The 24,139-nt window shown below is 41.2% G+C and overlaps 1 long non-coding RNA gene and 1 pseudogene across 1 annotated transcript in view; one reads left to right on the forward strand and one right to left on the reverse strand.

Annotated features, from left to right (window-relative positions):
* Positions 1-11,572, reverse strand: part of LOC124900610 (uncharacterized) — a 170,779-nt gene extending 159,207 nt beyond the window's left edge. Inside the window, exon 1 of the long non-coding RNA XR_001742671.2 lies at positions 11,479-11,572. This is a non-coding gene — a long non-coding RNA (uncharacterized LOC124900610). The remainder of the gene's footprint in view (positions 1-11,478) is intronic.
* RN7SKP157 (RN7SK pseudogene 157) lies at positions 20,630-20,911 on the forward strand (annotated as a pseudogene).

Consider the following 24,139-nt stretch of genomic DNA (forward strand, 5'->3'; position numbering starts at 1 on the left):
AAAATAGACCAGTACTGTATGAGTTGTCATGTTTTGGGCTACAAACAGGAGAAAACCTGACTGAGAAAGCCTTAAATGATAAAAATTTATTATTTTATCTAAAAGAAGTCCAGAGGTCGGCTAGGTGAGGTGGTTTATGCCTGTAATCCAAGCGTTTTGTGAGGCTGAGGCAAGAGGATGGCTTGATGCCAGGAGTTTTGAGACCAACCAGGGCAACATAGTGAGACCCCCAACTCTACAAGAAATGAAAACAATTAGCTGGATGCATGCCTGTAGTCCTGGCTACTCAAGAGGCAGAGATGGGAGGATTGCTTGAGTCCAGGAGTTGGAGGCTGCAGTGAGCTATGACTGCACCTACAGTCTAGCCTGGGCAACAGAGCAAGACCCTGTCTCAAAAAAAAAAAAAAAAAAAAGAAGAAGAAAAAGAGGCAGCCCAAAGGTAGAAAGATTTTAAGGTAGGCTAATTCAGTGACTCAACAACACATCAAAAATGTAGATTATTGGCTGGGCATGGTGGCTTATGCCTGTAATCCCAGCACTTTGGGAGGCCAAGGCAGGCGGATCATGAGGTCAAGAGATCAAGACCATCCTGGCCAACATGGTGAAACCCTGTCTCTACTAAAAATACAAAAATTAGCTGGGCGTGGTGGTGTGTGCCTGTAGTCCCAGCTATTCAGGAGGCTGAGGCAGGAGAATTGCTTGAATCCGGGAGGCAGAGGTTGCAGTGAGCCGAGATTGCGCCACTGCTCTCCAGCCTGGCGACAGAGCAAGACTCCGTCTCAAAAAAAAAAAAAAAAAAAATCTAGATTAGTTCTATTTTTCCACTAGACCATTCTCAAGCATGTTGAATATTGTCTTCATGGTTGACTCTAATTGTCACAAGATTGCTGCCACAGCTCTGGACGTCACAGCCTCATGCAGCAGCAGAAAAAGAATGGTTTCTCTTAACATGCCTTTCTTTTAACAAGAGAGAAAAACTCTTCCAGAGTCCCCCAGCAAACTTCCCCTCAAGGTTCATTGGCCAGAACTGTATCTCAAGCCCATGCCTAACTGAATTACTTAGAGGAGGAACTTTGATTCCCTGATAAACTTAAACCAATGATGAAGCATCACCTCTTAGAACTAAGACGGGATCATTCCCGGGGCACAAAGCTACAGATTTTATCAGGAAGGAAGTAGAAAAGAAAAAGGAGGAGGAGGAGGAGCAAGAAGCAGAAATTAGAATGGCTTTTGGGAAGACACTCAACAGGTATATACCACAAGTGGCCTAGAGGGCAGAGTAACCATTTCTCCCTGGAGGCATCAGAAAAAGCTTCCCAGAATAATGAAAATGAACACTATAGGCCAAGTATCAATGACAAACATAGGCACAACCCTGTGCCTCCACATAAAAGAACCAGTCCAACCAAATCCAGGCCCTCTTTTTCTTCATGGCTCAGTGAAGAACTGTATCTATGTCTCTTATCTCAAAGAAGCAGCTGGTGCTGTCAATCCCATCTAGGCTAATCCAACATTGACTGAGTAGCCTTAATCCATCATTGACTGAGTAGCCTTCTGCAGCTTGCAGCAATGGCCCCACCTCAAATTCTTCTACAGAGAGTGATGTTAAATTGTTTTCTTTTTAACATAGAGCTATTAATAATGACCCATAAGGGTTTTTTTTAACCTTATACAAAATTCAATACTCTAATTGTTGAAAAAAGGCAATAAAGAAGAATAAAAAGGCCAAAAAACCCACAATGATATCAGAGTGAACATTTGGTGATGCTATCTTTGACCCTTCTTTAGAGAAACGTGAGCTCCTCGGAGGGCAAAATAACCCAGGGCTCCCTGAGCCTACTGAGTGCTGAGGAAGAGCCAATCAGAAAAAATAAATAAAATCCACACAAAGTCCTCATGCTGTTCCACTTGAATAGAAAATGATACAGAGATGAGAATAGAGAAAGCACATGGCAAAGCCTAGTAACCTCCAGCCCCACTAAACAGAAAATGCAGAGATTCACCACAGGGCAACTCCATATAGCCACTCTGGATGCCATTTTGCTAATTGTGTTTGCTATGACACCAAGCACCGCTTAGCTGGGCTCCCAGAGTGTCTCCATAATGCAATCACTTGCCAGGAGCGAGAGTGATTTTTATTTGATATCCATACAAAGCAGAAGCAAATGAATTACCATAATGAGAAGCAACATAATGATGTGGAGATGTACAAACTGCCATTGTGTTTAATAACAACAAAGCCTTCCCTTTTGAATTAGATTTGCAGAAAGATTCTTATTGAAGCATCATTGTACTGAAACCAAGTTGTTTGGAAAACACACACACACACACACACACACACACACACACACTCGAAAGCATTTCAGCCCTATGATTACTGGAAAGGTTGTTAGGAGAATTTTTTTTCTTCAATTTTTATTCTCAGTAAAATCAACTTAGTTTTAGCACTACCCAGCTGCAATTTGTGAAGTAAATGGCAAAGCTAAATGTGCCGAAACCCAACATGTTCCCTGAGCAACAAAGGGATTGAAGGCAAATGTTACAGTGTTATTGACAACACTAGTAATGCTTGTATAAGCATCTGCTTCATAAAGGGGAGAAAAACCTACGTTATAAACAAAAGGAGTTTCCAAATGAGCCCTACCTCCTGAAATTCTGGCTTGAATTTGAATTTTCACTTCGTTTAGAACAAACTTCCTCTTTTTAACTTTTCCGTCCAAAATAAAAAATTCTCTGATTTACATTCTGGAAACTTCCCCATAACCAACTCCTCTATGTTTTCTTCTCTCTCTTAAATGATTGCCTATATTTTCTGGTATTTACCCTTTGTCCACCATTTGATTTCCAACAATAGATGAAGACACCACTGAATAAACATGCCATTAATTTAAACCTGTTTCCATGATTATCATGAGCAACTTGTCGTCTTCTCAGACTGAGAGTCCACTGTGTGATTAGCATGTGTCTCACTCCCACCCAGTCCCACCCTAGGCCTTTCAATGTCACCATTTATATCTATTCAAATACAACATCCTGGTTTCACTGATGCACAAACCCAGAGCCAAACTGTGGCCTGCATTAGATTGAACTACACTTGGGAAAAATCTGAAGTGGAAAATTAACAGAGCTAGAAGTCAGGAGCCTTAGGCCCTGGGTCCAACCCATCACTGTCTGTGATGGTAGGTCATAAATTTCTTTGTGTATGTCTTAGTTTTCCCAGCTGTAAAATAGGCGTAATATCTGCTCCATCCATGGAAGTGTCTTGAGAATCACATCATAGAGGTGGTCTCAAGAATCAAATCATATTCAAGTGTTTTTTCATCTGTTATTACTATGCTCATGAGAGAAAAGAAATCTTTTAGTAAACCCAAAATCATCCAGAGAATCATATCATTTCTAATGATCTATATTTTGGTTTTTGTCATTTTATCATCCAACAAATATTCATTGAGTTCCTGTTTGATCCAAGGTATAAGCCTCAGTTCTGTTGAAATATGTATATATCATGATGTCTGAAGGAGGCTATAAACAGAGAGAGAAGGAACACCCATAGAAAAAAAACCAGCTAGAAATAGAGTCCACACCTAAATAACAAATGGGAGGCAGAATAACATAGTGATTTAAGGCGCAGGCCTTAATATCATACTTTCTGGGTCTAAATCCTAGTTCAGTCGTGCTAGGATGACATGAATAGCAATGTGAACATGAGCAAGTTACTTCACCTATTTATGCTTCAGTTTCCTCATCTGTAAAATGGCGATAATAATAGTATTTATCTAATAAGCTTGTTGTGGGGAGTAAATGTGTTAATATACTTTGTTCTGTCATTCTTAGAACAAACAATGCCTGGCACATACATAGGACATACTTAATGTTAGCTGAAAATATAGAAAACACCTTGAGGTACAATAACTGAGAGGGAAAGAGAGCACTAAAGGTCAAGAGTGGCTCAGGATTCCTGATCTAGGATTTGAAGGTTAGAAAGTGGGGGAACTGTAACCAGTTTCTCCAGATGGGGTAGGAGCTTGTCTCTGTGTACCTCTTCATGGCCAAAAACTGGAGTGGGCAAAGAGGCCATATTTCAAAGCTGCCTGCAGATTTTCTGTTTCTCTAGAGACTGAGGTTTGAATTTACCTTTGAAAGCATATTGCCTTTTTTGGAGGGAAAAAAACACTTAATGAGCTTTTGGGTCCTACAAAGATGTCTGAATATATTATTACTGAAATTACGAAGTTCTTGACGATCAGCAGCTAAGCTGCCTTGCGCAATAATGCTGAGACCATCTAGTCAGGCTTGCATGAAATGCACAGGACTCTACCTATAGACAACTAGAGAGGAAGGGAGGGAGAAAGGGGGGCAGGGACAGAGTGAGAAACTACCTTAGTCAAAAAGTGTGGGCACTTAGGCCTCAGGAGAGGCTAGGAACTGAGATTCTGCTCTTCTCTCCTCAGCTTCCAGTCTCCATGCCTTAAACAGCATGAGCATCTCTCGGTGGCCACTGGAATTCTGAAGTGAAAATAAACTTTAGACCCAGGACAGCTACTTCATCTGATGTTCTGCTAAGGAAATGGGAATCTACTCCAGACTTGAAGGGTCAGCAGGTTTGGGTAGGCTTGCTGAGAAAGCTACATCCATCTGCAATGTAGCTCTCCTCCAAGTGGTTTCCAAGGTTAATTTCTTGCACAGATTTTGCCTTACACTTAGCACCTAATCCCCAGGAAAGATCTGGCTCCACTATATAAAGATATTTTTTATTGTGGGTAGAATTTGTCCGAGCATATTACATTTATGGAGGGAGAGGGGCCAGGGAGACTAGGCATGAGAGTAATAGAAGAAGCTTTCCTTGACCCCATCTTTTGGGAGCTCGTGGGCTGTAACCTGAACTCCAGATAGGGAAGAGACACTAAACTTCTGTCTTCAGGAGCGTAGGTACCAGGCCCCTGCAAAAAGGCTGCAGACTAGGAGCCAAGGAGAGAAACTGAATCAGGATTCTGTAGGAGACCTTGGCCTCTGGGCTCCAGAAAGATTCATATCTAGTATCCAAAGTTAAGAGGGAAGAGGAGAACTGTATTTTAATTTCTTCTGAGATCCTTTACTTTTCAGTGCAGTATTTGTTTTTAATCATGAGGTATTTTCTAGACTATATTTTGGGCCAAGCAGAAAAGGGGATGAGGAAGGGAACAGAGCAGTCACCTAGGAAAACCAAGGTCAAGAAGATGACAGTATTCATTAGGAAGAGAATAGTTGACTGGGTCTGGCCCCAGTGCTATAACCCTTGGTTAGGAAGCTTTACATTAAAAATACTGTACTTTGGTTAGCACATGTCCTTTGCAAACACATGTTAAATGGAAGTCAGTATACATTATCCCTAAGCAGAGGAATGAGGACACCCCTCCCAGGGAAGGCAGGGCTGGGCCCTGAGAAAGGCTGTTCCCAGGGTTTGCTCTTAGCCCCCTATCCTCCCACTCTCCTGGGCAATCTTATCCTCTCATAGCTTCCAGTTCCATCAACATGATGGTGACTCAACTCTCCAGCTTTGAACCTCTCTCCAGAGCTGCATTGCTCTTTTAGTCTCTTGACTTGGAAGTTCCATAAATACCTCAATGCTCCTATTGATTCTGCTGCCTAAATCTCTCTCACACCCACTCCACTTCTCTCCACCCCCACTTCCCTCTGCTAGCCAGGTCGCCATTTCTCTCTACAAGATTATCAGTTCCAAATTTGATCTTTTCCAATTCATCTTCCAAACAATGGAGGAGTTGTTCATAAAGTAGAAGGTGCATCAGGTCACTGTCCCCTTCAATACTGTCCCATTTCCTAAAAGGTGAAGTCCACATGCCTTTAAAAGGCCTATGTGAACCCCTGTGACCTGATCCCTGCATGCACCTCCACTCTAAGGCCTTGCCATCCCCCTTCTCCTGCTCCCTACACCCTTCTCCACCACACACACATACATTTCACTCCAATCAAACTGAACTTATCATGTTCATGTTCTCTCTCCCTCTAGCTTTTTACATATCCTGTTTCTTCTTCCTGGAAGATCCTAGGCAAAGCATCTGTTCACCCGGCTAACACTCCTCCTCGTTCCTCAGATGCCAGCTAAAACATCACTTCCACCAGGAAGCCTTCCAACACCACCCAGAGTCTGTCTTGTCATCAAGCAGCACACACGTGCATCCCCTTACTGCACTGATCACTCATTTTTGTAATGACATTTGATTCCTAGGAAAGAAGAACCAGTGACAGACACTAAACAACAGACAGGACTTGAGGACGGATGGGATGACTGTAGAGAGAATTGTTGAACCTTCCCATTTCCTATTTTGTTTCCTTTTCCATCCCCCACACTATTTCAGGGAAATCTGTCATTATTGCCTAACTCAGATTTCATGTCCATCAGAAGATAAGATCTACTTTATAAGCACTGTTCCTATCATGCCAGGCAATTGGCAAGAAGCTACAGAGAATGGAGCCTCTACTTGGTTTTTATTGCAGAACAGCACATTCCTGGAGACCATGTCATAAAGTGGATCATTGAAAAGCAAATTACATTTTCCCATAGGAACAATGTTATAATTAGAGGTTGTATTCCTGAAAAAGGACTTGGCTTCATGTAAATAGTAGACATGAACAAAAATATTTCACAAAAGCAAAGATTCAGTAGCTATAAATCCATATAATTGTTTAAAATAATAAAATTTTCTCCAAGTATTATAAACCAGGCAGGATTAGAGGGGCATGTGTTGATTATTGAGGGACTCCAATGTACCATAAAGTGTACATTAAAATACAACTATTGTGTCATAAATTAGAATCTGGAACTAACTTTAATATAGACATTACACACTTAATTAACAATGGGAAGGCAGTGCAGTACCATGGTTAAAATGCAGCCTTGGGTACCAGGAGATCAAAACTGCAGGTTTGCCTTCTAGACTAGTGAGCTCTGTGAGGGCAGAGGCTACACCTGCCCAGGGTAGGGACAATGCCTGCACACAGCATGGTTCAAAATAGTTTTTACAATGAACAGCCCAGGTTTGAGTTGCCACTTTGGGCAAGTAAATCACCTTCTCTGGGTCTATGTCTCTTTGTTGGTAAAACAAAGAAGCTGAACTGTGAAGCCTCTGAGGTCCCTCCCAATTCCAAAATTCTAAGACTGCCATTTTGTTGTCTTGGAATTCAGAAGTTCCTGGATGTGGTTAACTGTCACTTTGGGGAAACTCAGTGAATAAAGCCTCCAGTATTCACATCCTTGTTCAGTCCCCACAAACATTCTGGGCTTTACCATGTGAATGGATTTAGCTAATAGGACTTTACCAAGCAAGATAAAGTAGAGGCTTAAAAAGTACTTGCACACTAGGGCTTGTTCCCGTGGAGCACTCTCAGCCCCAGGTGCCATTCTGTGAGAAGGCCAAGCCTCATGGGAAGGCCAAAGGGAGGAGAACCAAGGCATTCTTGTGAACAGCCCCAGCTAAGCTCCCAACCTACTGCCAGCACCAACTGAGAGTCATATGAGTAAGGATTTTAGACATTGTAAACCAGGTGAGCCTTTAGATGACAGCAGCCCCAGCTGACACCATGTGGAGTAGAAGAACCTCCCAACTGAGCCTAGTCAGCCAATAGGTAATGAAAGGTAATAAAATAACTGTTTAAAAGCACTACATCTGGGGTGGTTCATTGTGCAGCAGTAACTAACTGAAACACTTAAATGACTTAAATGGTTTTCGACTTTTGCAAAAAAATGAACTTTCCAAGGAATACTGAATAAAGTCTGTTTTTCTCTGTGTTAATTTTCCTATACCGAGAAATATTTAAAATATTTTAACTATCTTTAAATAGACTCAAAATTCTGTAGTAGTGTTCAATAAATATTTGTAGAAGATAAAGATGTTTCCTCTTCCTGAAAAATATTTTTCCTCTTTACCTTCTCTTGAGAAAGTAGAGTTGTTCAAATGCACAATCAAATAAAGGTCACAAGGAAATAATATGTGCTATTCAGTCATTCTACTTGACACTTTGTCGACAGCTCTCAGAACATTCCCTCACTACTGATAATCCACAAAAGCAATTATCAAGCAAAGCAAAGACTTTAAAATAAGAGTGTAACAGAGTATCTGGTAAGGCAGAATTTTGTTTTTTCCTGATAAAGAAATTGTTGACATTCAGAGCTAGGGAGAAGTAGGCAAATGTGTATGATACTATGGGCTTTCTTAAATAAAAGGGAGGCGTCTTGGTACTTTGGGGCTGCTAAAACAAAACACCAAAGCCTGGGTGGCTTATAAACAATAGAAATTTATTTCTCACAGTTATGGAGGCTGGGAAGTCCAAGATCAAGGCATTGGCAGATTTGGTATCTGGTGAGGGCCTATTTCTCACATGGTGAAAGGGGCAAGGCAGCTCTCTGGGGCCTCTTTTATAAGGGGACGAATCCCATCCATGAGGGTTTTACCCTCCTGACCTCATCACCTCCCAAAGGGCCCCACCTTCTAAGACCTTCACTTTGTGGGTTAAAATGTCAACATATTAATGTTAGCAGGAGACATAAACATCCAGACCATAGCAGGATGAGACCCCCAACCTCCCTCTAGGAGATTCAAAGTCATTAAAACCCGTCAGGATATACCTGATCAAGGATCAGTGGCAAACACAATGAGACTACTCAACTAAAATCAACATGGGAATAGAAAGAGACTGAGTCAGGGGCCATCCCCTGTATGAAGTCAGTCAGTCAAAGGAAGAGTGGCTCTGGACACCTATATTGTGCTCTGAGAAAGTGACTGGGTGGGTGAATTTTTTTTTCAATCCGTGAAGTTGAAGTGCCTGCTCAAATTTGATGTGAAATTCCCCTGACCAGTCATGGATGAGAGGTGGAGAATGATCTTTCCTCAGACCTTGAAGGACTAAGCTGGGAGAGAGACTCCACTGGAGCTCCAGGCATCAGCCACTTCCCCTAGACATTGCCACACTGAGATCTCAGGAACGATGAGTCAAGGGGCCCTTTGACTACTCTGGTTTCTCTGTGTCTGCATTTTTGTGATGCATTAACCCAAGCAGAAGCAAATTTCCAGTGGCAGTTATAACACGCTCTCACCCATAGGATCACATCTGAGCTCTAGATATAACAGCAAAGATCCAGCCTTAGAAAATCAAGGCTCCTAAAGATTATCATAGAAGGGTGAAGCCAGGGAAGCGGGACATTCTGATGGATGAGGCAGCTTAAGACATTTAATAGGAATCCTAAAAACAGATGTGGTCTGATTGCATATCAAGCAGGTAAAGCAGATTGTGTCCATTTGGGGCACTTCAAAACATCTCTCAGAATATCTAAGATGGGCATAAGACATAGGTGATATTTAGTGAATGTTTCTATGTGCCAAGCACTGTTCTAGGTTTTTAAATATATTATTCATTTAATTCTCACAAATAATTATGAGATATGTATTTTACAGAAAGAAAGCTGAGGCAAAAAAAGTAACATAACTTTCTCCAGGTTACCAACTACTTAGCAGTGAAGCCAGAATTCAGACCCAACCATGCCCTGAAATACTAATCCATGTTTCCTCTCTCTTGACATCCCAAAGGTTGCTGCTTTGCCCCACTGAATTTTAGAGCAGAGGTCCCCAACCTTTTTGGCACCAGGGACTGGTTTCGTGGAAGACAACTTTTCCATAGACGGGGGAGAAGGAGATGGTTTTGGGATGAAATTGTTCCACCTCACATCATCAGGCATTAGTCTCATAAGGAGCATGCAACCTACATCCCTTGCATGTGCAGTTCACAATAAAGTTCGGGCTCCCATGAGAATCAGAATCTCCCCTGATCTGACAAGAGGCGGAGCTCAGGCGGTAATGCTCACTCCCCTACCGCTCACCTCCTGCTCTGTGGCCCAGTTCCTAACAGGCCATAGACCGGTATAGGTCCATGGCCTGGAGGTTGGGGACCCCTGTTTTAGAGGGCATATCACTAAGGAAGCTTTCAATGGACAAGAAGGTGAGGGAGAACCGTCTATAGCTAATGCTCTTTAACAGTTATCTCAGGGACCTGCTTTCTCTGTATCTTCCATTATCATTTAATTACTATACTAAATAATCCTACCAAGTGAGGATAAAGTCTGTTTTTAGCACCAAACCAAGCCAAGGACCATAAACCACCTGTCAACACCCTCACTAGAACTTGTCATGATATCACACGGAAGATGAAATCAGTGCTTTTGGTGTGTAGTCCTGCTGTGTAGACAGAGCTCAGAACTCCAGCTTTCCAGTTTCTCCCGGCCTGATTCATTTTGCCTAGCTCTCTGAATGTAGTTCCCGACATGCTTTGGGCCTTGCATGTATATTGTTATTATCAATTAGTGGCAGTATTTGCTATTGATATAGCACTTCATATCTGTAAGTCCCGTCCTTTGGGTCTTTGTGCATGGCTGGTCTTTACAGCCACAGATATGTTTGCACTGACATCACCTTCCCAGGATTATTCCTATGGGTTCAATGATTTGCTTATGGCAATTGCAGAGGAACGTGTTACAGAATACAAGATGAGCAATAAAGAGGAAAGAGAGGAAGGGTATAGCCTAGCTGTTTAGGGTCCGGTGAAAAGCTCAGAGAGCCAAGCAACTTGATTTTACTTGCTTCTATTTACAATCATAAAAGTATTATTATTAATGATGCTGTTTTACATTTTATAGCTCCTTTTCAACTTGAATGATCCCAAAGGGTTTTGCAAACTACATGTGCGTAGTTTCACTGTCTTCACATGGCCATTGCTCTCTCTTCCCTCTCAAGAAGCCTCTTACTAACAACAGCAGAAGCAGCGATGTTAGCAATAGTCAACAGAAAAAGGTAAAATGTAGGCATTATAATTTCCCCCTACTCTGCTTAGCGTTAGAAAGGAGCTAATCTTTGCCCCAGGATCCATTCTATTTTCTAGGCAGAAAAAGGTGGTGTCGTTGGCTCAGCATCCATTGGTGAAGGCTGAGTTCCTGCCTATTTGCACCACCAGGGACAATTAGAGCAAAATGAAACTGCAAACATCAATAGGGGTAAGGCTGAAAAGAATTCCAGCTAGATCTTAAGATTTGCTCCTGTTTGTTACAGTGAAATATGGATTTTAATGCCCTAAAGACACTAAAACCATAATGCCAACTCTAAGAATGTGAAACACAACAGAAACAGAGGGTAAGGTCTAAAGTATGAAATTTGGAAGAGATGAAGAGAAGGTTGAAATAGAAAAACACGGATGTGTGTGCTGTGGAAGCAGAAAAGTCTCAAGACTAATAGCCACATTAACAACACTGAGCGAGCATCAAATTCCAAAGCCCCCAAGCCCCAAGCCCCAGAAGCCCAAGAACCTTGCTGAGAGCATGCGGTCTTTGGGGCCTGCTTCTCATTTGTTATTAAGCCTGGCTCTCTCTGCGGAGCCAGAATCCATTTCTTGAGAATCATGATCATCTGCTTGAATTAGAAGAAGGTTTTTACTTACCTGGAAATTCTAAAGGCTGTATTTGGTTCAGAGGAGAAGTTCAAGAAATATGGGTTTCTTTATTCTTTTCTCCACCTTAAAAAAAAAAAATCAATGGGTTAGATTCCACACAGTAGTGCTGTACTTTATTCCTAATTATTTTAATTATTTAATAAGTATTTTTATTCCACTTACCACAAGCCAGACACTGTTCTAAGTGCTTAGCAATATCACTCATTTAATTGTCATAACAACCCGGAGAGATAGGGACTACTCTTTTACAGATGAGGTAACTGAGGCACAGAGAAGTTAAGTAATTTGCTTAAGGTCACACAGCTAATGAATGCTGAAGCCAAGATTCAAATTCAGGGAATCTGACTTGTCTCCATGTTTTTACCACCGTGCAATGCTGCCCTTCTTATATATGGCAAATTATGCTTGCAATTTATGAGGGGCAGTTTTCAGTAAAATACCAAGAAAATATTATCAAAACAAAAGGCAATGAGAACCTACAATTTAAGTAAATGGATGTGCCTACATATATTTTTATAGATTGCTTCCATCAAAATCTTGTATAATAAAGCATTACCTTATTAACCTTAAATTCTAGATTCTTTCCTCCTAAAGGAAGGAGTCATGCATTCATAAGCAGTGCTTCATTTTTGTCCTCACAAATGCTTTCTGGCTTCAAAGTATTGGAGATCTCGGGGAAAAGAAGAGTTTGGTCTACACAGGAGGGTAATGAGAACTTGGGTTCAAATCCTGGCTTTGCCACTCATTTGTATGGCTTTGAGCAAAATTCTTAATTTTTTTGTGCCTCAATTTCCTGGTCTGTAAAATAGGTGTGATAATGTCACCTACCTCGTAGGTTGTTGTGAGAATTAGCTTAGATAATATGTGCAAAATACTTAGAGAGCCTGGCGTAGAATGAGTATTCTGTAAAACCGACCATTACATTGGGAAATTTGGCAGTAGAATATAATGAGAAGTAAATAGAAGACTTAAAACTCATAGAGCCAGTCTCTCCTTTCTGTTAGTTCTCTGGGCAAACCTGTATGTGGCTCCTATATCTATGAGGGTAGCAGCAGAGCCCGCTCAGCTTTGAGATATTACCTGCAGTTTCATTTCTGAAATCCTCGCCCCTGACCCCAGAGGGCCAAGCTCAGCCAAGCCCAACCCCTGCACCCCTCCCTGTGCATTGTACAGGCTCAGCACGGGGCTACACTCACCGCAGGGCGCCAGAGGCCGATCTGCTACTTAGGCTGCCAGTATGGCAACTGTGAGGGGCTGTTGGCTTGGTCTGGAAAAGTGGGAGGGAACAGAGTATGGGCAGGAATCAGCCAGTGGGACCCGGGTATCTGGGAGGAGTTGCACTAGTCCTGCCCAGGGACTGCACCTGTGGTGTGTCTGCCCCTCTGGGGAGCCGGTGATAAAACCCAGCTTGACTCTGAGGCTCTGAGAATTGCTGTTTCCACTTTTGGTTGCCTGCTTATCATTTCCTTTTGCTTTTTAATTACATAGATGATGTATTCTTGTTGAGGAAATAGATGCAGTAACAGTGGAAAAGATGCAGTAATACAGTGAAAGCAAGCCCTTCCTTACCCCTCTCCTTTATCACACTTTCCAAAAAACCCAGTTAGCATTATGGAGAATTCCTTATCATTCCAGACTTTTGTATGCCTTTGCTTACACACATACACACACACATACACACACACACACACACACACACAATGTCCTCTTCTTACACAAAAAAGTAAATGGAGGGATCATACAGTTTTACAGATTTTTGCCTCTTGTTTTTTCTTTTAACTTAATATCTACCACAGAAGCCTTTCCAAGACAGAATACACAACTCATTTTTACAAACTGCATACTCCTCCATTGCACTGAATTCCTAATTTTACTTAACCATTGCCCTCATAATAGTCCTTTTGGTTTTTGTTGTTATTGCCGTAGTTTGGTTTTGTATTATCCATAGCACTCAATGCTCCTGTGAAAATCTTCATATATATGTACAAGTATTTCTACAGGAATCATTCCTAGAAATACAATTGCCAGGCCATACATGTATGTACTTTTAAAAAAATATTTTCATAGCTGCTCCAAATTGAGAAGAACCATTTCCTAAATAAAATGTAAACTCTTGTTAGAATTGCTGTCAAAATGAAAAAGATGACTGACAAAAATTTTACATTTCAAAGACAGAACATTGATGAAAATCTCTTTGTTTTAAAGATGATGGTTTTCTTATTTTAAATAAAATCTTTTTAAATTCATAAGGCATATACTATTAAGATATACCATGAGGCAAACCACATTTTGTAAATGAAAGCTTAGGAGATCAGTCAAAGAAAGACAAAAGGAACCAGTTCCAATGTCTGTTGCTCAATATTGGTGTCTGTTCAAACGTTAGCATTGTCAGCCTCATATTTCTCTGCGGTGGTTTTCAGTTACTCTAAAAGGCTGTTTAAGCACCCAACTGACTTGAATCAGATTTTCTGGGCCTGTGGCTTGGGCAACTGAGTTTAGAATGTTCCCAGGTGATTCTAAAGTACAATGATGCTGAGAACCACAGCTACAGAGCTTGCTAATTTTAAAATTTCTGAATTTTTAGCAAAAAAAGTAATGCAGCCATTCAGTGGCATTGCAATAATAAATGAACACTTAAAAGGAAGTTATAAGTGTAGAATTTTCTGAATTTTAAATTGATTAAATTTACAAAAAGAAATGCATTTCTAATATTTTTTTATTTTGTTGAATTAATCATCATGTGAAACAGTTACTCACGACTAGGAGTATTTGCAAAAGGCAGATGTATGGCTCTAGAGAAACCAAATAATAGGATAAGCTGGAATATGGAAGAAGGGATAAAAGGACAACAGATGGAACCAGGCAGGGTTAATACATATAGTGTAAATGAAGTAGAAGTTTTTGAAGCCCAAAGTCATGGAAGAAGTCTTTAGAAGGCCAGAGCTTTCCTAGCTTCAGTTTTTAGGAATACATCGGCACTGCCCAATAAAAGGCAGATAACAAGCCTCAGTAAATTATTATTATTATGGTGATAGTGAAACCACATCATAAGCGATGAAAAAATAATAAAAGAAGAGATTATCAGCACAGGAGGAGGTCAGGCCTGCAGCCAGCACCAGTTCATGTCAAAGCCAGCAACAATTCATAAAGTCGTAAAAGGTAATTGTGGAATAGGGACTTGGGAAAGACAATTACAGAATTAAAACCCAGGCCCTCTCCTGCATAGGGTACGGATGGATGAGGTGTCCTTTACCTTTTTCTGCCACTAGAATCTTTGTGTCAAATGAAAGTCAACTACTTTACACCCACAAAGAAGACTATGTCAAAGTGTGCAGTATAATTATGTAATTTTATAACAGCTAATGAACACTCAATATTTCAAGTCAGTTTGACGATAGCCTGCCACTGTCTCTCACAATTCCTAGGTGATTCAATGTTTAGCACTCTGTTTTCTAATTTTCTTACAATACTATGTTCTAAACTTCCACCCCTTTTGTTAAGACTAGAGTATGGGTATGATGCTTGGAAAACTCGTTCCATTAAAAATCCAGAGGTGAAGTCCATCACATTTAAAGAGTGGAACAGCACTTGGAATCCTAAAACTAGAAAACAACATTCAAGACAAGAAAGTAGATGATAACCCCCTGGGTTTCAGAATCCCTGCTGCTGCATCAGGTCCAGGTCCCAGGGCTACAAGAAGGGACAAATGAGGAGCTTATCAAAGCCATTCAATTGAATTTGAAGAATTGGCCCATAACCTGACAAAGGATTTTGTGTGATAGTAAATAAAATAACATAAAATAGTAACATCCGACCAGGCGCGGTGGCTCACGTGTGTAATCCCAGCACTTTGGGAGGCCGAGGTGGGCAGATCTTTTGAGGCGAGGAGTTTGAGACCAGCCTGGCCAAGAGGGCAAAACTCTGTCTCTACTGAAAAAAAAAAAAAAAATACAAAAATTAACCAGGCATGGTGGTGTGAACCTGTAGCCCCAGCTCCTTAAGAGGCTGAGGCAGGAGAATCTCTTGTACCCCGGGGGTCAGAGGTTGCAGTGAGCCAAGATCACACCACTGCACTCCAGCCTGGGTGACAGAGCGAGACAAAAACAAAAGAAAAAGTAGCATTCAACCTCCAGCTATGACTTTCCAAGACCACCTAGACAGTGGCAGAAGCCCCTGACTAGGAGATAGAACACTCCTGCTTAAATTTCCTTCAAGCACATGTGTTGTGTATTGGCCTTGACATCAGGATGTCAACATAGTAATTTCAATGGTGAAATCATACTTATTGGTTTCCCTGGGGTGTTGTTAAAATCTCATGGGCTTCTGTACCCATCGTAAAACAAAATTCAGATTCACTGTTTTTTTAATAAATATATATTAAATCACTTTGCTATTATCTCAGAAGCAAAATAAGAATAGGGCAAGAATGTGATAATCCTACCACAAAAAGGCTGAGAATTCCTGAATTCGGAACAGTAAGCTATCATTTCAGAGAGCACGAAGGTTAGACTTCTTCAACGGAGAAAGCTGCCTAGAAGGATGTACGTAGAAAGAAATGCAGAGAGTAAAGCTACACAGGGACCTGCTTTAGGGAAAGAAACAAGGTGACTTGCAGGAGGAAGAAAAGTATCATGGAAGAAGCAGAGAGCTTTAAAGGTAAAAACAAAGGTGATTCTGACGCATAAAAGCAGGAGGGAGCCCATAGCACACATGTAGTAAAAGTCTGTTAGAACATTTACTAAGAAACAGAGAAAAGAAAACAAGGCAGGGAAATGTCACATGGCATACATTCCAGACAATTTAGCTATGCTATTTTCGTCTCGATTTTTCATTTTTAATTCAAGGGACTTCAGCTTCATTGTGGTGAGACCTAAAGAGAAATTAAACTGACATTTGGATCAAAAAAATTGTAACAAACATGCACACAGAGATGGTTTCTGTCCCCTAACCAGTGCTCCATACTGGCTTCAGCCATGAGGCCGCTATGGCTCTACAGTTGTTTGCAAAGAGTTGCTGGACTACTGCCCCACAAAGACAATGGGTTTTGATTCGTTGTTTTTCAGTTGTTTGTTTCTGTATTTTGGCTAGCCATAAGGCTGATTCGTATATTTACCAACATTAAGATCTGGATTGAATTTCCACCTCCATCCTCACTCAGTCTTTCAGCATTTCAATATGCCCACGTGTGCTGGCCACCTTTCAGGTGAGAGCCTATCTGTTAAGTACAAACCTTTCTGACTTTCAAGCCAGATTCTCGTTCAAGTTTTTTGCAGGCTGAAAATGGTAATTAAAATATGAGTTAGGGGAAAGAATGGGAAGAAGGCAGGCTGCTCAGGATTTGCATTTTGCCCATCTCCCTTTAGTGTCAAATACTATACATTTACAAACCTCTTCTGTCTGTCTGGATGAGGAGGGAAAGAGCAGCTATACATTACCAACCTGGACCAATTAAGAGTAGCACAGAAGTAAACTGCTGGGCAGATGAGAACAGCTGGGCCGAACATAATGTACTTCCTTTCTCACCTTGTGTGGGTTGCCCTTCCGGGGTCCTTGTATTTCAGGAATGGTGGAGTCCCGCATGTTGATCCCTACTTGGTTGCTAGCACAGCCAGCCAGTTTTTAATGGGGAAAGACGCAAGAGGGACTCACAACTATTTCAGCCTTTTCCTCAAAGTGAACATTCTTTTTTTTCTTTCCTTCTGCATTATTGTGCCACGGTACTTTAAACTTTTCCCATCATTAAGCCTTCTGAGTGAAATTTTGAACTGATTAATGTGGCATTTTCCACTAAACTGTTTCAGGAAATGTTGCACCTTACCAGTGGGATGCTTTTGAATAATGTAATCTCCTTAGTATAATTAAAACTAAGTTCTGAAGTTACTACCTTTTCTCCCTGGAGGCACTCATCAAAATGTCAAGTGTTCCTTCTAGTAGAACTGCAAACCCATAGTACAAACAAATATATTACCCACTGCTCCTCGCTAGCAAGAGGCCCTTGCTGGATTTTTTTTTTTTTTTTTTTTTTTGTCACTTCATTTCGAACCTGTGCAAGCAGCATAAGAAATATGATCACCAAAAGCCACTGGACCCTCGTACCCTGAGCCGTGTTCTATACCAGCTGCCTGGTTTGCATTTACTAATATTCCTTTTGAATACTTGTCTTCAACAGATGAACTTTTTGTTGTCGCGTTGTTATTTATGCATAGAAAACAGCGTGGATCTAAAAGTCATTTGTTCTCCTAGAGCTTTCTATTTAGTTTAAAAGGAAAAAAAAAAAAAAATCAGGAATGCAACGCCCTCTTCTGGCTGAGAAGCATTTAGATAACTATGCAGACCTGAGCGGCATTTTGACCAAGTTTTTAAAGACTGCTTGGTATATAGTGAGTGATAAATGAATAATCGGCATTATTGTCAAAGTTTGCAACATTATTCCCCCTCGGGACAGGACAAGGTCTGGCCTCAGAGGGCCAGTCCCAGCTGCCCAGCTTTTAGGAGCTCTGGAGGAATTAAGTGAGTGGACCATTCCCCAGCTAAGCAGAAAGGTGATAAGAAACGGTATCAAGAGTCCCGTCCCTCTCTGGAACAAACATTCAATCCAAGACAAGGGTAAGTTCATTCTAAAGGCTTAGGAGATTTGTTTTTGAGTAGATGTCAGAGAAAGCCTATATTCCTTGCTAATTACTGGCTTTCTCTAGAAAAATCAGAAAGGGTATCAAAGGTTTCCAAATGCAAGCCTATTATTTTCTTATGAATGTAACCACCCTAATTATTTTGCTTTCCCGAGATCATATTAGAGTCTACCCTGGAACCTACATCTGCCTTTGAGGAGCCCTATCCCCAAATAAGGTGGCCCTGCCAGTCTCCATCTGGGAAGGAGGTGGAAGGAAGTGACAAAGGAAAGCGCAGGCATTTGGAGACAGAAGGAGCCCAGCAGGACTTTGAAAGAAAAATATTCAGTGCTGGAACATGCTTCTTACCAAGTAATGTTTTCACTCTCTAGAAAACATGCTTCTTTCCAGTCTGAAGGCCAGGCTGGCTGCCACTTCTCTCCGCCTGCCAACTAGTCATTAGCAAACAATGAGCAACCCAGTGACTACAAAAGAAAAAGGAAATAGGCATGCAGCAGCACAAGGTAATGACTGCTGAGTGTCTGGAGGATAAAGTATCCAAGTATCAGGCTGGAGGCTGCCCTCTTCATGGGGAGCTTCAGGATGAGGGAAAAAGGGAGGTGGGGCACAGCTGAGGAATACAGTCTGCGGCTGGCTAGGGAGGAGCCTCGAGATGGGTATACTTGGGGAGGCTTGGGACACATTCACCCAGGGATGTGTGCAGCTGAGGGCGTGCACAGCTGTGGTCATGGCTGGCACAGGATATTTCCTCTACCTAGCCCATGGTGGGAATGTTTGGAGTGAATAATTCAAGAAAGTCATTTCCAGAACACCCAAGTTGAAGGTCTTTGAGTGACAAGTATCAGAAACTCTCTTTAACTTGAGCAAAAACAGGAATTTATCAGAAAGAATCCTGAAGTGCCTCATAGAACCAAAGGACAGGAATTATGCAGGGGCTGGGCTGCTTGTGTATCTGGAGTCAGGAACTAAAAAGCAGTTAAGAAACCAGCCCTTACTGCCTGCCTCACCCCCATCCTCCAGCGCCACATGGTTTCTCGACTCTCTCCTTGCACTGTTCCACTTTTGTGTCCTCACTCTAGCATCTGCTTAATGTTTATATGATCAAACATGGTGGCCACAGCCCCAGAGTTTAATTGTCCTCAGTTCAAATATGGCATAAAACTGAATAAACTATTCATTCCAATTCCAAATTTCCAAGAGAGACCATTTGCTCCACACTATTTAGGTTCCTCTGTTTTCTAAGCAACCATGTGATATAATTTGGCTGTGTCCCCACCCAAATCTCACCTTGAATTGTAGCTCCCGTAATTCCCACATGTCGTGGGAGGGACCCAGTGGGAGATAACTGAATCATGGGAGTGGGTCTTTCCCGTGCTGTTCTCATGAGAGTGAATACATCTCATGAGCTCTGATGGTTTTGTAAAGGGGAGTTGCCCTGCACATGCTCTCTTGCCTGCTGCCATGTAAGATGTGACTTTGCTCCTCCTTGCCTTCCATCATGATTGTGAGGCCTCCTCATGTGGAACTGTGAGTCAACTCAACCTATTTCCTTTATAAATTACCCAGTCTCTGGTATGTCTTTATTAGCAGCGCGAGAACAGACTCATACACCATGATAAGGTAAACTCATGTGCTATGGCATGGCAATGGGGATTCATCCCTATGCATGGGAGACAGTTCTCAGAGAAGGTGTTATGGACTGGGAAGAAGGTCCAATAATAAACACACACACTCACATTGACTCTCAATGATCTTGAAGCACAGCTGAAATGGTTTTATGAAATGGCAAAATAAGGAGAAATTTTTTGGAAAAAAAAATTCTTAGAACATTTTCTGTTTCTGAAGACTTTCAAAGGTAGGGGGAGAGAAAAGGGTACCAAATCGTATTTTATGTATAGTAGAAAAGATAACTAATTTGGAAGCTAGAAGATCTGACAATTGCTCCTGGTTCCACCAAACTGGCTATGTGAACAAGTTATATAACCTCTTACCATAGTGTTCTCATTTACAAATAAGAAATAACAGTAGTTGCCCTGTGTATGTCATAGGGCTATTTTGTAAGAGGGGATGTACTGTACTGCAGTACCTACAGAGGCATGGGGATGAAGCAGAGTTTTGGTGTTCCATGGCTAATAATTACAGGTCACATAGAGATTCAGGGTTATATTACTCCTGGATGCAAGAAAGAAAAACAATGGAATTGCACCAATCACCATCAGCCTTACCTGCAGGACTCTGGAGGAATTCAGCTGTAAATTCTTAGCTAAAATCTGACAGAGCTAGAACACTCGCTGAGGAAGCACTTACAATTAATAATAAAAATGATGCAGAGAATATTCTCAGTGAGTGAAATAAGGAAGCACCCACTGTTGTTCACTGGGTCAGAAACGTGGCAGATCCAGGACTGGCTTGTTGGGCATGACCCTTTGTTCAGCAGAGTGATTCAGTGGGGCTTAAGTGATGTTTTACTAAATTAAGTCAAGGCTGAGTACTCCCCACCACCCACCAATGGATGTGGAGGGGCAGGGGCAGGGTGGCATCTGCCCAGCCCCTGGGAATTCAGCTGACCTGCTGGCTTGGTGTCCCCTTCCTCCCTCAATCTTCCTCATGCATCCCTTCTTGACATTGCACCCTCAAAGAAGATGACCTTCCCAGCAAAATGATTGTTCTTCTGGCAAGCATGTCTGCCCAAGTTTGTTGTGAAGATATAATAAGGTAATGGATATAAAAATGCTTTAAAAACTGAACTCACTACACAAATGTAAGTTATTATAATTATTATGATTAACAATGTCATAAAAGGAAACCATTAAATCAGTCACACAAATTGGCACATGTACTCAGTACCTAAAAGTAATCAAGCAGGGAGCCTAAAAGCAATTTGATAATCTTCTCCTTTTAAGTTCCTTTTCATTAAGCTTTTGCAGGTTTGTGCATCTATAAAATCAGAAGATATATTTGGCTTCAGGCTACTGCTTTCTCAGCTTAATGAAGGAATGTCTTCTTTGATTATTTCTTATCCCAAATCCTTGAAAGGGAAAACATATGTCCATCTCTGGGACACACACCATGCTATCTACCAACTGTTCGAGAGAAATGTCAAATCAGAGCTGGCTTCTGGTTTCTTCTTTGAGATTCTTTGCATCCATGATGGGGAATGGAATTGTTGAGGAGGTGAGAGACATAGAAAGAGATACAGAAAGATAAGGACAGACAGAGATACAGAAAGAGACAGGGACTGTTCTGTTTTCAACAGGCCATCTTAGCTACTCAACAGAGAGTAAATAAAGGAACAACAGCCATTCCTGCAGCTGAGTATGACTAGGGGTGCTGAAGTACAATTATATTATATTCAAAAATAAATACATAAGCAGCACCTAAGAACCACATTCAGGTAGCAGTACAACCTGAGGTTCTAGGTCAAAGATAGCCATCTTTTTGTAGCAAAAAGACTGAAATTCAAATTGGAGGACTACAGTACAGGACATGGAGCCTCTTCCAGTCAATTCACGTGGGGTAAAGGTTCAAAGTGGAAGAATTTGCTGTAATTTGTGTAGTAAGGTAAATCCTTTGACAACCCACAAAATTTATCTTTCATGAAATAAAAGATGATGGAAATGAATAGAGGAAAACATAATTTGTTACTGCCTATAAAGGGGATATAAAGACTAGAAAAATGAAAGGTGAACAGCATTCCACATGTTTGCCAGTTCCTAAGTGTAAATTTGCAAGTTCAAAGCTCAAGAGATCTTTTCCCTTCGATTTTGTGCTTATAATTAGGCTATGCTTATCGATAGAATTTTGTGTTTATCCTAAAATGATGGCCTTCCATTCAAGATCACTAGATTCATAGTCATGGGCATTTTAGACCTTACATCCAAAAAATATAACTCTTCTTAAGATAAACAGGGATGACAAATAAGTAGAAAAGCAATCTTATAGAATTCGCTTTTGAGAAATAAAAACTCCTAATTTACTATACTTTTTAATTAGGTTTTAAATATTAAGATCACTACTCTTTTCCTTAATTTCCTTATGGCGTATAAGGATAAAGCTCTTAGCTCGTTCTCAAAGTAGTAGTGGGAAAGTGATGGTGTTTGGAGTGAGAAGATCTGAGTTTAAGTTCTAGCTGTATCTAATTGTGTGTGACTTTGGAAAGTCACATAATGCTTCAAGGTATATGAAATGGGAGTGATGATACATTCCATACTTAATACGTCAAGGAGGGAATGTGTATAATAGCTAAGAATATGTATTTTAAAGAGTATAGAGTATGCAAAGGCCCACACAGGTACTAAGCCAATTTTAAAGATTACAGAATTACAATTAGAAGGAATCTTAATATTATCCTGTCCTAAAGTTTTTAAACATTTTAAGATGAAGATCTTGTCTTAGTTCAGCTGCTACAACAAAATAGCATAGACTGGGTGGATTATAAACAACAGAAATTTATTTCTCACAGTTCTGGAGCCTGGACATCTGAGATTAAGCTGTCAGCATGCTCAGATTCTGGTGAGAGCCCCCATTCAGTTTGCAAATTGCTGTCTTCTCATTGTATCTTTAAGTAGCAGAAAGAGAGTTAGAGAGCTCTCGGGGGTTCCTTTTATAGGGCACTAATCCTATTCATGATGACACCATCCTCATGACCTCTATACCTCTCAAAGCCCTTCCTCAAAATATCATCACATGGGAGGTTAGGATTTCAACATATAAATTTGGGAGGGACACAAACATTTCATCCATAACAGACCTTTTCTCCAAATGAAATCATATACAACAAATTAAAGCCAGAGCTGTTCTGTTAAAGCAAGGAAGGAGGAAGTACCACACCCCAGCTCGATATAACACAATGGGCCCCATCCCCACAGCCCACTTCTACCACTGGGAGAGGGGAAGATGTAGCTTAAGTACTATTCAGTGCACAAAATTTAAAACTCACTGATCTATTACAACCTCCTTAAATTACAGTTGAGGAAACTGAGGTCACAGAGTGGTTACAATCACCTCTACTATGAAATAGGTTTCTAAAACACCAATGAGCTTATTATACATGATTGATATATAGGGGAATTATGTCAGTAAAATATACAAGTCATGTTAGTTTATACATGGTTTTTCTTGGACAAGGAGAGCCAGACTATCAGGAGGAAATAAAAGGAAAAGCCCTCAACTCAGCTGCTGTACAGGGAGAAACCCTGTTAGCTGTTAAAAATGAATACATGAAAATAAGTACCTGCATGGTTCTCAGCTTGTAGTAGGATGTACTTTCTCCTATGCCCACCTTAATAGCAGCCCCACCAGCTCAGAGCTCCACTTCCATCTGTATCATCTCAGTGCCCCAATCAGCATTTCCATTCTATTGTTTCTGTGCTTTTTAAAATATCCCCTAAGCCTGGCGCTATGGCTCACACCTGTAATCCCAGCACTTTGGCAGGCTGAGGCAGGCAGATCACTTGAGCCCAGGAGTTCAAGACCAGCCTGGGCAACATGCCAAAACCCTGTCTCCACTAAAAATACAAAAATTAGCTGGGGGTGGTGGCGCATGCCTGTAGTCAGGAGGCTACTCGGGAGGATGAGATGGGAGGATCATTTGAGCCCAGGATGCAGAGGCTGCAGTAAACTGGGATGGCACCACTGTACTCCAGCCTGGGTGACAGAGTGAGACCCTGTCTCCAAAAAGATAATACATAAAATAAAATATCCCCAATGCAATCTCTAAACATGCTGAATTCCTGAGTTTTGCCAAGAATCTTCAAAGGTACTGTATTAGTCAGCTCAGGTCACCATAACAAAATACCACAGACTGGGGGGCTTAACCAACTGAAATTTATTTTCTCACACTTCTGGCAGCTGGAAGTGCAAGATCAAGGTGCCAGTAGGTTTGCCGTCTGGTGAGGCCTCCCTTCCTGGCTCACAGATGGCCCCCTTCTCCCTGTGTCCTCACATGACTTTTTCTCTGTGCCAACCTGTTGAGTGTTTCTTCCTCTTTTTTGTAAGAATATGAGTCCTATTATATTAAG

Source organism: Homo sapiens, chromosome 5, assembly GCF_000001405.40.
Source record: "Homo sapiens chromosome 5, GRCh38.p14 Primary Assembly".
Classification (NCBI taxonomy): domain Eukaryota; kingdom Metazoa; phylum Chordata; class Mammalia; order Primates; family Hominidae; genus Homo; species Homo sapiens.